This window comes from Homo sapiens, chromosome 7, assembly GCF_000001405.40.
Source record: "Homo sapiens chromosome 7, GRCh38.p14 Primary Assembly".
In the NCBI taxonomy this organism is placed as follows: Eukaryota; Metazoa; Chordata; class Mammalia; order Primates; family Hominidae; genus Homo; species Homo sapiens.
Window position 1 is genome coordinate 50317351 of NC_000007.14, and position 17437 is coordinate 50334787.

General features: G+C 40.9%; 1 protein-coding gene across 59 annotated transcripts in view, besides 3 other annotated features; it reads left to right on the top strand.

Moving 5' to 3' along the window:
* IKZF1 (IKAROS family zinc finger 1) overlaps positions 1-17437 on the top strand; it is a 101647-nt gene that overhangs the window by 13896 nt on the left and 70314 nt on the right. For 57 of the 59 annotated variants that reach the window (XM_011515058.3, XM_011515059.4, XM_011515067.4 and 54 more), the window contains 2 exons: positions 1698-1751; positions 10288-10407. In XM_011515058.3, the coding sequence (XP_011513360.1) occupies positions 1698-1751; positions 10288-10407 (174 nt within the window). Of the gene's footprint in view, positions 1-1052; positions 1218-1697; positions 1752-10287; positions 10408-17437 lie in introns of those variants that run through there. The other 2 variants (XM_011515060.3, XM_047419749.1) reach the window with 1 other exon arrangement.
* Positions 976-1045: an enhancer, noted in NCBI's record as "active region_25999". NCBI's record gives its function as "activates an Ori minimal core promoter by ATAC-STARR-seq in GM12878 lymphoblastoid cells {active_cell/tissue: GM12878}" and the evidence as "EXISTENCE:reporter gene assay evidence [ECO:0000049][PMID:35858748]".
* Positions 1056-1105: an enhancer, noted in NCBI's record as "active region_26000". NCBI's record gives its function as "activates an Ori minimal core promoter by ATAC-STARR-seq in GM12878 lymphoblastoid cells {active_cell/tissue: GM12878}" and the evidence as "EXISTENCE:reporter gene assay evidence [ECO:0000049][PMID:35858748]".
* Positions 1354-1465: an enhancer, noted in NCBI's record as "conserved acetylation island sequence 3". NCBI's record gives its function as "activates a minimal heat-shock promoter by reporter assays in Jurkat T cells {active_cell/tissue: Jurkat}" and the evidence as "EXISTENCE:reporter gene assay evidence [ECO:0000049][PMID:17135569]".

Consider the following 17437-nt stretch of genomic DNA (forward strand, 5'->3'; position numbering starts at 1 on the left):
CGGCTGTTACAAAGATTTTTCTCATTTGAGTCTATCTTGCTTCTTTATCATTGTTTTGACAGTTTCAGAAGAATCGTGGCTTTTCCCCTTTTTTACAGTAAAGGTACCTGAGACTCTTGACGTATTGCTTTTTGGAAATGCTTGTGCTGGTCACATGCTTGCATCTGGGCTAGTGTGTCTGGCTTCCGTGTGCTGGTGGATGCTTACTCTGTTTTCTGAAATACTTTTTCTGTACAGTGGCCACTAGCTGTACTCCTAAGCCACACACCTACCTTGAAAATTCATGTCACTTTTAGAAATAGATAAAAGCCCCTCCCATCCAGAAAAAGTGACTATCATGTATATCCTCATCATGACTAATACTGATATTCCTGAAATTGAAAATACATATTCCATATGTACCATAAAAGGTATTAAAGATATATGGAGTGATAGATATATTATATATAACACTTCTACCCTCACAGTTTTCAGCCTAATTGAGAGGGTAAGATCCCTGAATCATCCATCAGTTTTTCAGGTCTCTGCTGAAAGCAGGCCACAGCTCAGATCCACACATCTGAACCAGAGACAGAGGTGGCCAAAAATAAAAAGGGGGACAGGGGGACAACCTGGTTTAGAGTCAACAAATAGACTGCATTTTCTGGTTAGTGAAGGAGCTCTCCTGAAAGTCATATACCAGAGCATAAATGAGCAGATTTCCTTGAGGTCACCTTCTGCTGGCCATAGCTTTCTTATCTGTGGAGCTGCCAGCTGTCATCCACTTTGGGGCACCTGAGACTGCCGAGCGGCAGGCCAGGACCCAAGTGCGAAAACACAGAACACCTTTTTGTTTCTACTCCACTGATGCTGGGGTTCTCTCCCTGGTGTTTGTGGCTCGTAGTACACTCTGTGGAACATTCACTATGGTCATCGAAGGGCAGCATCTTCCCAGTTGTTTCTTTCTTTTCTTTTTTTTTTTTAATTTAAACCGATCTGAGAAGCCAGCCATCTGTCAGCAAAACAGGAAGGCTCGGGCTGTCTCCTGGGCTCGTTTTGCTGCCGTAGTGAGCGTCACTTCTCCCCGTGTAAGAGTGCTGGTGAAGGCTGAGGCAAGGGCCCAGAAAGATTGAGGGACAAAGACAGGAGCGCCCGCATTGCCCATCTGCCAGGCTGGAGGTGTATTCATTATTGATGGAGGTAGTGCAGTTGCTGCTCAGATATGCAGCCCTGCCTGGGTAAATGAGACATTCTTCAGCAAATTGCTTCGTTTTTTGATTGCTGATTGTACGCGTGTCACCAAGCTGACTCAAGGTTCATCGATGCATGCTCAGTAAATTAGAAAGAACATAACTATGGATCAGCCAAGAGAATGAATTCTGTGCCTACAATGACCCAGGGCCATTTAATTTTCTGCTTAATTTTGTTGCAGTCAGTTTGCATTTTGGGTTATTATGCAGTAGGAAATTAACAATAAATAACAAATTTGGTCCTCCTGTGCTTGTAATGATATTTTTATAAATCTTTGTAATGCTGTTTTTAAAAGGATCAAGGTCTGTGCCAGTCTGATACTCCAGCAAGTATGTGAGGAGGAAAATGCATTATTCTTGCTAGATAACCTTGTTGTTAAATAGCATAGGGGTTCTTTATCTCTCTCTCTTTCTCATATCTTATTAGTATTTTTGCTTTAAACTAAAATCCCTTCCTCTCTTTCTCAGATAACCTGAGGACCATGGATGCTGATGAGGGTCAAGACATGTCCCAAGTTTCAGGTGAGACCTTATGAGATAGCTGTGTGGGAAGTTCATGAGAAAAGCTTCCCTGGGGCCGGAAGTCACAGTGCTTGGTATGCTCATGGGGGAGGAATAGGGGCTATTCTGCAAAAGAAAAGACCATGATGGAATTTGCCTGAGTGTTTCCTTCACCTGTTACAAATTATCTCACTTTGAGCTGAACAGAAAGCCTCCAAGATGAAATTAGTTTTACTGTTAAACTTCAGGAAAAAAAAACGGGAAGAGTTAAATACATTTTTGTACTGTTGGAAGGAAAAATGGCTGATTGGTTTAAAACCCAAACACATGCCAATGATGGTACTTAAAGAGAGAGAGAGAGAGAAGCTTGAAAAACATAATTGTTGGGCACAGTCATGACTGTTTGTTCATTAAGCATGGACACAACATTGCTCCCCTTTGCCATATATCTTTTCAAGCCGTATTGGATATAGCTCTTCTCATCCAGGAGACCCAGGAAGTGGAGAAGTCTGTAGTAGGAAAAGCCTAAGGGTAGGTCACAGACTGTGACCATTTGGCAGCACTGAGGGTGGACGGCGAGCCAGTCCAACAAAACCGCACAGTTCCCCAGTGCATGGACATAGGAAGACAGCTTTCTATCTGGCCCTGTATCCAGAGGCGTCAGCCCCAGTAGCAGCTTTCATGGACTTTGGGGTTTTCGGTATTTCATATTTTTGAGCCTCACAGACTCACAGCCAGCCCCAGAGGCTGACTTATATTTGAGAAAGTTCTCAGTGGCACCTTGCCTTGGCTGAGCGCCCTCGTGTTTTGAAGTTTCTATGGGATTCTACAAGTTGGTGCTCCTGATGAAGACCAGGACCTATGTGTGGCTGCTCCCCTGCTTGGTGGTTTCCCTGGGGAAGGTGCAGGAGAGGATCTTCTGAGTTCCATGGAACTGGAGATAGATCTGCCAATCACAGGCTTCCTTCTCCACCACTCCTCAGCCGCTCTATTCATGTTTCAGATTTTGGACTTAAACTCTCCCAGGTGCAAAGAACAAACAAAAGGCTAGCTTATTTTTCTTTTAGAGTGAGGCTTCGTATTTATTACAATATAATTGCCACATTCTTTGTGTAATTCTCACATTTATATCTTAAATATAATTCTCATGAATGAGAATTATATAATTCTCTTTTTGTATATCATTGAATATTTTCACTTAATTTTTAATTTTTTTAATCGTCACAAAATAATTGTGTACATAGACACAAAATAATTGGGTACATAGTGATGTTGTGATATATACAATGTATAGTAATCGGATCAGGTAAATCAGCATATTCATCATCTCAAACATTTATCGTTTCTTTGTATTAGGAACATTCGACATCTTCCTTCTAGCTATTTGAAACTATATATTATTGTTGACTACAGTCATCCTGCAATGGTGTAGAACACTAGAACTTATTCTTCCTACCTAGCTGTAATTTTGTCTCCTTTAACAAATCTCTCCCTATCTTCCACTCCCCCGACCTTTCCAGCCTCTATTAGCCTCTGTCCTACTTTCTACTTATAATGATGACAGCAGCATTTGTTAGTTTCCACATGTGAGTGAGAACATGTGGCTTTTTAACTTTTAGAATGTGGTATTCAGGCACTTCATGGTACAGTTGGTAAAAGTGAAAATGTGTCCAAAAGTTTGTGATTATCTATATAAACAAAAATGGTATAAATACAAATATCAATTTTGCATTGAAGAACTTACCTTAGAGGTATATTCTCACAAGTGCACAGAGCATTTAAGCATTTGTTCACTGCAGCATTGTTATCAGTATTTTAAAACTATGGTACATCCATGTACTTCCACATACAGCTCTTAAAAATAAGGAGGATATGAATGAACTAGTATGAAAAGAAGTCCAAATACATGTGAAAGTGAGAATAGCATGGTTCTGGATGGTATGCAAAGTATGATCTCGTTCTTTTAAAAGAAAATAAATTACATACACATACATATTTTCTATATGCTTGCCCATAACGTTTAGGAAAATTCTTGGGTGATATTTATTAACCTGGACTTCCTCTTGGAAGACTGATGGTAGAAGGAAGGGGACGAGTTAGGGAAGAGGAGGAGAAGGAAAACTTTGCTTTTCATCTTCTACCTTTTAGCATTATTTGAATTTATTTTCCTTAAGCGTTTACTTTGTTTCGTAAACAAAAAAGCACAAAAACAAAAAACGAGTTAAATGGGAAAAAAAGCAGTTTAGCTCTTTATAGCCTCTCATTTGGCTTCGCCAGCCTCTCACTGCAGCCTCAGAGAGCTGGTCTGGGAAACACTGGTAGATGAGGACTGTAATCCTCACTCATGGAAGAGGATCTCATTCACTGGGTTTGCTGACTGTGACTAGAAGTGATTAGGGTGTCAAAAAACCCAAGCATGTTAAAAATTTCCAGAGGCCAAAAAGATGCTTTCATTGTTCTGCTCTTCTTTTCCTTGTCGCTTTCACTTTGGGTAGCTTCTAAATTGGTATTTTGCATGGTGCATTTAAAGAAAATGAGACCCCTTTGGCCAATGCAGGAGTCTACACTCTGATATTCTAGAGTCAAAGCTGAATGCTGACACCTAGGAATTCATCTCTAGAATGTTTATATAAGGAATAGCCCCTCAGTATTCCGATCTCGTATCTTAGTAACGAAACTAACAAAAGCCTGATTCTCCTCTGGTAGTTTTCTTGTCTTTACCATAATACAAAATAAGTAATTTGTTCTGCACCCTGACTGTTCAAAGGATAGGGTAGCTGGGGGCGGGGACAAGAATGGAGACCTTATTACATAAGACTTCCTGAAAAAGGAAACTCTGTTTTTGTTTGAAATGATTTGGTCTGAAATTTAGTTTGTGTACACTTACCAAAGGGATTCCTATTTCTAAAACACTCATACTGCTTTTGATTCCTGTTAACCTTTGAGCACTCTACGTAATGATGAGAGCACTTAAAGAGTCATGTCACTTTTAGTAAAGAATCAAAGGATACTTTTTCTACTTCTTCGAGTTTGATCTCTGCTTCTCCAGTTAAAACCAGTATTTGTTTTTTTCATTTCTAAAGTTGGAAGAAATGACAGTTAGTTATGGCATAAGGATGTACATTTAACCAAATAGGAGTTGACATTCTTGGTAAGAAATCTTACCAAGATTATGTTATAGATTATAAGAAATCTTAACAAGAATATGTTCCTAAATCATCCTCTTTTCCCATAAAATATTAAAGTATCAGCAATTTCATAGGATTCAACCTAATGTATGCGAAATGCTAGATAAACAGATAAATACTTAATATCTGGCTTTTTTTCAAAGCACTGGGTTATTTGTTCCTTGAGATTTATCCTAAATGTGGGCTATACCCTGGTTTACAGTGTCTCACAGATGTGTAGTAGTAGACACTCCATAAGTGTTTACTGACTTGAATCCACAGGGTACTGAGAAAATGCTACTGATAGACTTGGAGGAGAGCATATCTAAAGCAAGCTACCCTTTCCTTTAGGGCACGTCTCACTAATTCTTTGGGTAAAGCGTATTTTTCTTCCTTTTGTGTTTTTGGCAGTCTTTCCAAAAATACGTGTTATACCTATGCATTATTTTTTGGTTTGGTTTCTAAAGAAAGAGTCAGCCGGTGGGAAAGTGAAGGATGTGGGAACTGAGAGATCTGCATCAGCATCCCACCTCTACCTCCCACGATGGGACCTGAGACAGTTATTTTTGCCTCCTGGACCACTATAGTATCATCTGTAACAGGAGGGACTTGAGCCAGTTGATCTCTAAGGTTCCTCTGGCACCTGTGACCCTAAATAGATATTGGATATTGGTTTAATGCTATTTGTAGTGTGTTTTTTTGGGGATATGGAAACCAGAAGTTTGTTTCCATAAACATAAACATAAACTGTATATATCTAAAGGATATGGAAACCTTTAGATATATATAATCTGCTTACGTAAAGAAGGTTTGTATATATTGCAGTGTCAATGGGAATATTTTATCAAGTTAAGCATAGTAAATCACATTGATTAAATGCTTTGTATTTACCAAACATTACCCAAAGTGTTTTCTCCTTTCAACCTCACAAGGACCCACAGAAGAAAATACAGTTATCATTTCCAACCTGCAGGGAGCTGAGACACAGAGAATTTAAGCAACTGACCGGAAGTCCAACAGGGAGTCAGAGATTGCTCTGGGGTGTGATCCCCACTTGGACCCTAGAGTGGAAGCTTCTCCACTACTTTATAGAGTTGAGATTCTATATTTTGAGCTTGTATTTACCCAGAGAATTATATCCTCTTGGGCAATTGTGTATAATAAAACCTCATGCATTTAGGAGAGGCGGGATGACAGAACTTTGTTGAGTGAATTATAATCTACTTGAGAAATTATTTGCTTACATTTTATAAGCTAATTATACCATATCTCATCCAGTTTTCCCAGAACACTTCTCATAGGTAATGCTTTATTTGAAACATAGGCCATAGGTAAGTTAAGTGTAAATGTGTATTTTTATAATTTAACCAGAAGTTTATTTCATTTTTCTAAATAAGTGAAATTGTATTGCATCTTCTAAATTATTCTATTTAAACACTTGATGTCTTGCTGTCTCCGTCTCTGTGTGTTTGCATGTCATTGTACATGTTCTTAGGAAAAGTGTGGGAGCTTGACGCAATATATACCTTATGTTTCTATGTGCATATAGTTTACCAAATAATACCATAAGTTTACTTAGCATATTAGAATCCATGCACATTATTTTTATTTTATCTTCACCGCAACCCTGTGGGATAGACCAAAATCATGCTTTTCAGCCTCCTTTTTCCACTTGAGGAAAGGAGTCTTAAAAAAGGGACCAGTCTCATGTTCCCATTCGTCTTACAACTAATTGGTCAAGCCAGAAAGCCAGAACTATGTCCTGGGTCACTAACTCCTAGTCACTGTGTGTTAGTATTTGAGATGCCTGTTGGCTTGATTTAGTCATTTATTTTTTAGTGTTTTATAATCCTTGCATACTTTTACATTTTAAATGGTTAACCAGGCAAATTGGTTTAAAATCAGTGCATAAAAATACTGTGCCTATCATGATGGGTTTCATGAAGTGATAACTTTTCATCATGGAGATCCTCAGCTGTCACAGAAGATGAGGGGCCCTGGGTACAGAGGCTCACGTGAGGGATGAAAGTCTCAGCAGCCCGGACTTACACTTTGGGGCTTTTAGGCAAATCAGACAACCTCTTAAGAACTATCACTGAGTTCAGGCAAGGCGAGCTTGAATTAACACAGGGCCCTTGGTGGGCATGTGAATATATCTCACTTCACTACCATCCAGTTCTGACTCTTTACTAGATGCCCCTGTACATACCAAGACTGATTTTTTATTCTCCCTTCTCCCCATGTGGTTTCTTCTGCATAGAGAGTTCCTATTGATCAGTCTGACCCATGGTATTTTAGAATTGCGATCCCTACTGTTTCATTATTCCTTTTTCTCCCCCATGTTGAAAAAAATAAATGTCCTGAGATGCAAGATCAGGGACACTGGAGCACTGACATTTAGTTCAGTGCAGGAACTGAAGGCAGATGTAATTCTTAAGAAGCGTACCTGTTATTATGAACCATCCTCAACAAATTGTAGTGGATCTTGTTTTCTCATAGATACAGCAGTTAAATTTTTTAATAAAAGTAACTAAGAGTTATTTGGATGTATTTTAGCATGCACTGAGCGGAAAGTACGACATTTCTTCATTGGGTAAGTCCTGATTCTTTATGATCCTCACTTGGTTCCAGGGCCCCATGCATCTAAGGGTGTCTCAGAGCATCCTGCAGTGCTCCAGCATGATCGCAGGGAAAAGCTATAGGAGGAAAAGAGTCAATAAAGTTTAGTTTCTCAACCTCCCACCTCCACCCCATAATAATGACAGCTGGTTAATCATGAGACGCGTGCACACCCCACACGCCCTGTACATGTTTACTCATTGGGATAGCATGTCAGGCCAGAAGGCTCCATGGTCATTTCTATGAAGGTACTTTAGCAGGTCTTCAAGAAGGCAAGTGGCCTGGGTCCCTGCCTCCCCAAATTGCAAGCTCCCTGCTTTATGTAGGAGACCTATGTGTATATTACAGTTCTGTGTAAGATTATTTTGTTATTCTTACCCCCACACCCACCCCCCAACCCCCCGCTGCCACCAAAAAAAAAAAAAAAAAATTCCTCTGACAACCTTCATAAAGTCCTGGGAGTTTGAACACCATTGCTCTAGGAAGTCATCTTATACAAAAATAAGAGTTGTGAGGTGGTTCATATACCTCCTGCGTTCTCCTATTTGGAGTTTTTCCCCATTTATGAAAGAGGTGAAAACGCTAAGATATTTAGCAATTATTACTTTAAACATTTTCTATTTATAGGCCGGGCGCAGTGGCTCATGCCTGTAATCCCAGCGCTTGGGAGGCCAAGGCAGGCAGATCACGAGGTCAGGAGATCGAGACCATCTTGGCTAACACGGTGAAACCCTGTCTCTACTAAAAAAATACAAAAATTTAGTTGGGCATGGTGGGGGATACCTGTGGTCCCAGCTACTCGGGAGGCTGAGACAGGAGAATGGCTTGAACCTGGGAGGCCGAGCTTGCAGTGAGCCAAGATCGCGCCACTGCACTCCAGCCTGGGTGACAGAGCAAGACTCTGTCTCGAAAAAAAAAAAAAATTCTATTTACAGCAGTGAAAATAGTAGTGACTTAATGCACATTGCCAAGGCTTTAGCATAACATGAACACTTTCACTCAATGTCTCTCTGGCCTTTTGTTTTTCCTTGGGAAATTCTTATAATCCTGCTCCGTCTTTAACTATTCATTTTGTATTGGCTATCCAAATATACCCAATAATGCTCTTTCTGAAAATATGCCAATTGTGGTAATTACAGCTAAGCTGGAATATTAAATTGTGATGTCTGTTTTCCAGAGAATGAAGTAGTATTCCCCAGAGCATAGGCTTGGTGCCTGTGCAGGTTCTATTTTAAATATTCCAGGAAGGGTTGTTTTATATACTGAGGATGATTTTACTGGTCTTGCCAGTCGTCTGAAATGCTGGTATTACTCTTGTGGAAGGTTTATTCAAACAAACAAGGACATTTCACACAATACCTAGTCATGTTTTTCAGACATTTTAATGTTTGGTTCATCATTTGCACACACTCTCAAAAATCTAGGTTTGTCTATGTGTTCATATCATTTTGCCTGTTGCCAGCTCAGTCAGCAGGCACACTCTCCCAGGCTGTTGCTGTTTTGTTAGACTTCTTCAGGACCTTCATCTAAAATGGTCTTCCACACGTAGCTATACTGCATAAGTTCACATCATCTGTTTCTTGCATGTGGGTTGTGTCTCAACTCAAGTTTAAGTTAGATTTGGAAGGGCGGAAACTATAGGAGTTGCAGCTTCAGTGGAGAAAAGAGCATTTCCTACTAGTTATGGCTTCCCAAGGAAGGTTAGATTCCTCAGAGTAGGAGTGATTCCCCAATGCTAGAACCTTTGGTCAAATATAATTCTAATCCAGTCAAAATAAATACAGGTATTCTGTAAAACCCGATTTCATTTTGTAAATCCTACTTTGTATAGTATAAGCAATTTTTGTATTTGTGTGGATTATATTTTATTTTCCTATTTCAAAGAGAAGAATTTGTATTAGCAGACTCCCTTTGCATGCGGAGAGGGGATCATTTTCCCAGTAGGCATGGGGTTCCCTTCCATTCCTTGTCCAGTCTTCTTTTCCCCACTAAGTTAAGTCAAACTAAGCAGCTGGTAAGATATTCCCTGGTTCTTGCAAAGAAAGTGAGCAGATGGCAGAATGTATAGCTCTAAGCAGAATACCTGGTGTGGTATCCTCAAACACAAATTGACAGGAGGGTGTGGTGTGGCAAGCTCATTGTGGGGGTAAATTGGAATAAGCTTACAGGGGGAAGAGTTGACAAAAGATAGGAAGAACCTTAAAAATATAGATGCCTTTTATGCAGTGATAAAATGTCTAGATATTTATACTGTGGTGATTATTAGGAATATGTGCAAAGATTGGCTATTAGGATGTTCATTACAGTGTTGTTTAATAATTATAAAAGGACAGAAAGCAATGTGGACTCAAAAATAGGAAAAGAATTTAAATAAATCCTAGTGTACCCGTTATACATGAAATTATGGAAATATGACCCTGAGCATGGAAATATGTACATGAGAATGTCTAAAAGCTAGTTCATTTTGAAAAACAAAATAATGTCACCTCATATTATTTATAGTATATAAAGATGATTTTAAGAGTGGCAGTGTCTGGGATTATAGGTGATTGTATTTCTTCCCTTTTGCACATCTATGTTCTCTCATTTGTATTGTGTGGGGAGAAGTGACTTTTTTTATAAAAAGAAAAAGGTATATGCATCCCAGCAGAGAAGCACTGGCTCCACCCAGTACCTGCCTCCTCATGCCACCCTCTCAAGCCAAAAGCCGGGGGAAGCCCAGGCACCTTGACCATGACCGCCCGAGACTCACACTTCTTCTTTCTCATCAGGGAAGGAAAGCCCCCCTGTAAGCGATACTCCAGATGAGGGCGATGAGCCCATGCCGATCCCCGAGGACCTCTCCACCACCTCGGGAGGACAGCAAAGCTCCAAGAGTGACAGAGTCGTGGGTAAGTGGGTCACCAGCGGCCTCTGTGCCTGTGAAACCTTTATCTCTTTGTATTTTTCCAAGACAGTGATGAAGGGATGCAAGTCATTTTATCCATTGTGTTCCCTCAACTGGCATATTAAAGAAATATGGCACAAAGATCAGCAGGATGGGGGTCCTCTGGTGTGTGGGAGGATGGACACTCACAGGCCAGCATGGCCGTGAGAGCCACACACCCCGCAAAATGTCCAAGTTGAGGAGCAATCCTGCCCAGGGACGCGTCTCTGTCACTGTCCTCTGTCCTCACTGCACTTGCAGGAATATCAAATGTTATGGATTGTAGATCGTGAAAATTACACACTTACGTGTTTTGGCAACAGTGCTTTTCAGTGTTTGGGGTTAGAACAAGCCACATCTGGCCATTTTATGTTATCCCTCTAATCTCTAGTTCTTAAATTTCAGATTTAACTGAAAATAGAAAGTTTCATAAATGGTAATTTTTAAATGTTAGAAAAAAATCAAAGCACACATTTACATACCTTTTCCATAAAAAAGTGTGTGTGAAACCATCTGCAACTCCACTGGTTAACTTACACATGCGACAGTTTGTGTTTGGAAAACTTCACCCACCCTCTTTATTTCAAGAAACCAAAGACGGAGAGAAGTTCAGTGAATTAACCAAGGTGAAATGACAGAGTCAGAATTGAACTGAATTTCTGACTGAAAAACTAGTTCTCGCTCCATTATACCATGTTCTAATGAGCTAATGAGTCAACAGTTCCCTGGAATACCTGTTTTCTTCTTTAAAAAGAGAAAGAGCTGTGATACTGAGAGCTACCTATTGGCATAAAAGAATATGAAGGACATACAGGTAAAATGAGGTAGACTGGATCAATGTGGGTCAGCTACATAAGCCCCCATAGCCAAGGAGGGAACATGTATGTAAAATTCTCAGGCTTATGAGAATCACAACTGTATGTCTATAGGACATCCTAATGCAATAATGGGAAAATGTGATAACTGAATTTTATCTACATGTATAGAAAACATATTTTGGGCCGGGCATGGTGGCTCAAGCTTGTAATCCCAGCACTTTGGGAGGCCGAGGCTGGCGGATCACAAGGTCAGGAAATCGAGACCATCCTGGCTAACACGGTGAAACCCTGTCTCTACTAAAAATACAAAAAATTAGCCGGGCGTAGTGGTGGGCGCCTGTAGTCCCAGCTACTCGGGAGGCTGAGGCAGGAGAATGGCGTGAACCCGGCAGGCGGAGCTTGCAGTGAGCCGAGATTGCGCCACTGCACTCCAGCCTGGATGACAGAGCCAGACTCCATCTCAAAAAAAAAAAAAAAAAAGAAAAAGTAAAGAAAACATATTTTGTATGTTTTTTATGTGTCTTAGAAACCAAGTGGACTAGGTATAATGGTTCTTTTTTTTTTTAACTCAGCAGCACAGTTAATGGCACAAACAGATAAAGATGGTGGCTAAAGCCATTTGGTGTAGATGAATCCAGAAAACAAGTACATTTATGAATTATTTTACCCTATTGGAAAATGGCTACTATATGTGGAAAGTAGAGGGGAAGAGAAATGAACTTGTGAATTATCTACTCTATTCTACCAAAGAAAGATACATATATCATTTCAGGGTTTTCCAAAGTTGGGATGCAAAGGATCATGTTTCATTTTAATTTATGTATTTATTTTTGAGATTGTCTTCTATGTATTGCAAGTGATACTGGTTTTACCATGCACTGTACCACTACGAGGGTTCCTTTCAAAACACATTCATATAAATTAAAAAATCAGTTTAAATAAAAACATCAAGTCAATAGTAGTACATAGATATGATAAAAGTTTGCAAAAGTGGCACAGGAATAGTCATTGGGTGGTGATGTTCCCTGATTTTTTTAGTCCCTGAAGCACCCAGCGCCAAGGGTACTGTTCTTCCTGCTTAACACAGGAGCAAACAGATGCTCACACCCTGCCCAAGAACACAGAGGCTCAGGGACTGAACCAGAAGAAATGATCCATTAACCATGTAAATGAACAGAGAGCCTGGATGTCAGAGTGAGGAGGCCAGCTCGGGTCGCTGTGGAGAAAGAGATGGGCTCTCCCTGGAATCCCTGCAGCTGCCCTTAGAGGCTGTGAGCCATCGTGGCTAGGGCATCTTTAGAGAACTGAAAGTCAGGCCGATTCCTGGAGAGTGAAGAATAGCACACGTGCCTTCAAAACAGTGTCAGTATCCTGTCCCTTACGGACGTCATATTGTTGGTGGGTTTTCCTGGGTGGGAGATCACCCAGTATCTGGTTGGCATTACTGATGGGTTCCCAGAGCTGTCTTTTGGTTCAAAGTCCTGCCCTCGGTCCCAGCTGCCCCCAGCACAGGTGTCACCTTGGAGTCAGGGGCGGGTTTGTCATAGCCCATGGGTCCTGGCCCTGCCCTTTATCATGTTTGACATGATTTTCAGTCTACTTTTCCTTCAGGATGTAATTTAGAAAATATGATTTCAGAATTGTGAAATTTAAAAACCCTAGAAAACCTCTTTGCTTTGCTTGTAAATAGCAGTTGATGCAGCCCTGTGGACAGGCGGGAACAGCCATGTGACGTGGGCACTGAGATGATTTGGGAGATTGAATGCTCCTCAGTGGGGCTAGAGGCCACAGGAGTGATAGGTTACTGTAAAGAAAGCAAAAAAGATGCAAAAGCCTACATGACAAACCAGGCACGACACAAAGGAGAGGCTTGAGAAGAGGAAGTGAAGGAGGGAGAGGATTCCACAAGACCGAAGTGCCCAAGGAGACATGGAGGGAAGAGAGGGCTCTTCACAGAGCTGAGTTTAGAGACCACCCTCCATGGTTCTGGAAGGAAACCAGCCAGCTTTCATATGTGGTGACAGGCTGTTCATTAATTTGTAGTGTACAGCATTAAATAAATGAAGTATGTAGAGAACATTAGGAAACAATATAAAAAGGTAGGGGAATTCGTGGATAAAGGGAATAACCTGGGTACCATATTTCATCACATTATTCCATGGGAATAAGTCATCAGTGCAAAGGACTGTAAGGAGTGCACAGCAGGAAATGAAAAGACAGAAGCAGTGGGGCCGAGAGGAGGAAATGGAGTTGCTGAAATGCAGGGTGAGCAGCAGGGGCGGAGAGTGCCCTGTGGGTAAGGCACACCTCAGAAGGGACAGGTCCAGGCCCTCTCCTCCCTGGCCTGGAGCTTCTGGCAAGGCTTTTCTTCTCTGAGCCTCACTTTCCTCTTTTGAAGGTGGCAATAGTAACTGAACCTGCATCACAGAATGGCCTTGAGGGTTAGATGGAACATATATAGACATAATTTGTTGAAGACAGAGTAGCAAAGACACAAAGTAAAAAGGACAGAAAAAAGAAATGCAACTTGTGCAAAATAGAACTTTCAAAGATTTACAAGAAGGGTAAATGAAGCTATCGTAGCTTCACTTGGGAAAAGGGAGAGAACAGATGACCAGCACCAAGGATAGAAGAGGGATTTCTTACTTTAAAAAAAATGGTCCAAAGAATAAACAAACTGAAAACAGCCAAAAGAGAAAGGAAGAATTTGTTAGAATAGGGCAAGACTAAAGGACAGAGTAAGGGTGCTGGCCGCCACCTGACTCAAGTTCAAGTCGAGCTGCCACTGTTGAAATTTCAAGGAGAAATGGTGAGAAGCTAAAAGATGCAAAAAAAAAAAAAAAGTGGGAAATTATTTGCTAATAATAGATTGCAAGAGTGTCTGCTTTAGAAAGTGACAAGGAACACTTTTGGAAAGCTGTGAGCTGTTATGACCACTGGCATCCTTCAGTTTTAGACAAATCTAATCTCAACAAGGATAACAGACCATATTAATAAACAAATTGATGGGAATGGTGGAAATCAGTTCCCTATGAGGAGGGTGCAAAGTTATACTGATTGGTGAGTCACTCCCAGAATAAACAAATAATGGTTTCACACCTCATTGCTTCATTCAGTGTGGAAGGAACATTCTAGGTTTGTGTGTAAGTTTGGGGAGAAGGAGACAGAGCCAGAGGGCAGAGCAGCCCTGCAGCCCTCAGTTGGCCTCCATTTTCTTCCCGGTCTGAAGAAAATGAAACAAAGGATTTAAAGTGTTGCTTGAAGAATTTAAGTTAGACTTAAAGGAGAGATGTGGTCTTTACTCTCCTTTTGGCAAGGAGAGTTTAGTCATCAGAATGGTCTATTTAGTGAGACTGTAGCTTGTTCTTCTGAAGTGGTCTTTTTAAAAACTAGAGAACTCTCACCTCTCTGAAGTGGTTGTGTATGAAACTGTTTAAAGCCGAGGATGCACTCAGTGACCTCTTCAGGCAACCCCAGATTTACTCAGTCAGCCATGGCACACATGCTAGAGAAGTAAAAAAATGAATTGAGACTTGTTCTGAAAACTCTTGAGCAGGGGCTCTTAAAAGTTTTTTGTTTAGGAATTATGTCAGGGTTGGGGTCTGGAGAGCAGATAAGTGTTTTGTGTGAGAAAAGTAAAAACTTAGTTATTTTCTTCCCGTATTCAGTAATCCTTGCATTTTTTTCCTCCTCCTTTATACATACATTTTTGCCAGTTACTGACTTCTCTCTTGTACACATTTCCGTGTCCTAAATTAACCAAGAGTCCTCAGCCACTAGGATTCTATTGACAAGCCCACAGGTCTGGAGGTGTGAGTAAGGGCATTCCTCCCCCATGAAATCAGGCAGCAGGGGAGGCGTTTGGGTGGGTGGAACAGAGGAGCAAAAGACCAGAGGACAGAGAAGAAAGATTGCAGGCTAGAAAACGGGATGGCCACCCCTGAGAAAGAGGACAAGCAAATTTAGGGCTTAGAGTAGAATTGAAGAAAAAACCCAGGGCAGAGGCACAGGAATGCTGTAGGACTGAACTGGGACCATGATTGATGTAAGTGGAGATGGGTTGGTTGAATCCGTGGAAGGCCAAAGGATTGAGGCCCATATGGGCCTGGGACAGGGCTTACTAAATGACTTGCTACCTGGCTTGATAATCGGGACAACCTCAGGCAGTAGTTATTCAGGCGGGAGGACACATGAGTTTGAATATAGGGAGATAAGGTATATTTCTATATGCCCTGGTACATTCCAGAATGTGCTTCTCTGGCTCTGTGCACTGGAGCAGCCAACTCCTGAAGTTGGGAGGGGATCGCCATGGTTTCATGAGTGGTTTATTTCAGCTTGCATCTCACAGTGTGGTGTTCAGAGGCATAGGCTCTAGGCTCCCTGGCAGCACTGAGAGATAGAAACTGAATCAGCACAACTTAGGTCCTTCATGTTGAATAGTTTGAACAGAATTTGATTTACCCTAGCCTAATTGAAAAAAAAAAAAGTAGAAAAGAAATCTAGGTATTTTCCCTCTGGACTCCAGAACAAATGATTGAGTGTGTAAAAGCATAAATCTTTTTTATTCATTCAATTGAAGTAAAAATTTCTTTACTCAGCCATGAGTTCTAAGACTGCAGTGGGAATTGTAAGAGGATTACCATATTTTAAATTGGCTATTCTGGTGCCAAATCTCCCCTTCATTTTACAGTTTCAGGCAGAAGACCAGCACGGTAGTCGGGGGAGGGGGGTGGGTAGACAAATGGTGGTAACAGTCCTCTACACTCTGGGAGGGAAGGAGCGGTGCTGGGGACAGCTTTCACCATGGAAAGAAAGCAGCCGCTCTGGAGATTGGGCAGCAGGCTTTTGAGCACGGATGCGGAGCCTGCTTATCTAATCAGCAGCTAGAGGAAGTTGTTTTTATCTGCGAAATGCATCTCTTCTGAACCGATAAACCCCATTTTAGCTGGGGAGAAATATTATCTAGCAGCATCTGAGCATTAGCTGCAGCTGAACTCAAGCATGTTCAAATGTGAGAGAAGTCTCAAGCCGAGAACTGTTTGCCGAACTTCAAGTGGCTGGAGTACTGGTTTTCAAGTTTTCTTTTCTTTCTTCTTTGAGGAATAACTGAAAGCATATTATTTGGATTCTTGTTCACCTTGCTTTTTTAGTTCCTTTCCCCCTTCATAGTTGAATTATTGTTCAGTGGTCCATGGAGCAAATTTTGAAAATTCTATGTTATTCATCTTGCAATTTACTACCACTATCTTGGAATGCCTCGTGAAGACAGCAGGTATTGTCAGCATGAACATATCCAAACCCAGATGATCCCGGTTGGAAAGCCTCCCCTTTTTCAAATTTCCCAAACATGAAATATAGTATTACAAAATGATCTGCCCACCTCTAAGCTTTTCCATGTTTGATAAGAGAGGCCATCATGTAACAGGTTCATTGCTTCGCATTTCAAAGTAAATTTTAATTTACAGTCTTCCAGATTCGTTTTGGGTAGGATTTTTATGTCTGCTAATTTGTCAAATAGTTCAAAATGTTTAGGGATCATGATGTCTTCCACAGAACTTCATGACAGTTTTGATTTTAGATTAAAGTAAGTGACTTTTGTGCTATATCAGATAACATCTTGTACTAGGTTTTGGAATAGACCGGTGAGATCAGGCAGCAGAAGTTTAATAACTTTCCTTGGAAAACTGAAATTGATGTGTGTGTGTTTGTGTATATGTGCATGTGGTACATGTGTTGTGTGTGTGCAGGTGTCTGTATATATGTGGGGGGTATATGTGGTGTGTGATGTATGTATATGTATGTGTGTGGCATGTGTGTGTTTGTATCTATGTACATGTGGTATGTTTATGCATGTAGTTGTATGTTGTGTGTGTCATATGTTTGTGTGTGCATGTATGTGTGTGGTGTGTGTGTGTATGTGTAGTGTATATGTGTATGCTGTGTATATGTATATGGGGTGTGTATGTGTGTGGTGTGTGTATATGAATGGGATGTGTAGTGTATGTGTGTGCTGTGTATATGTGTATGGGATGTGTGGTGTGCATATGTAGTGTGTATATGTGTGTGAGATGTGTAGTGTGTGTGTGGTCTGTATATGTGTATGGGATGTGTGGTGTGCAGTGTGTATATGTGCATGGGATATGCGGTGTGTATGTATGGTGTGTTCATGTGATGTGT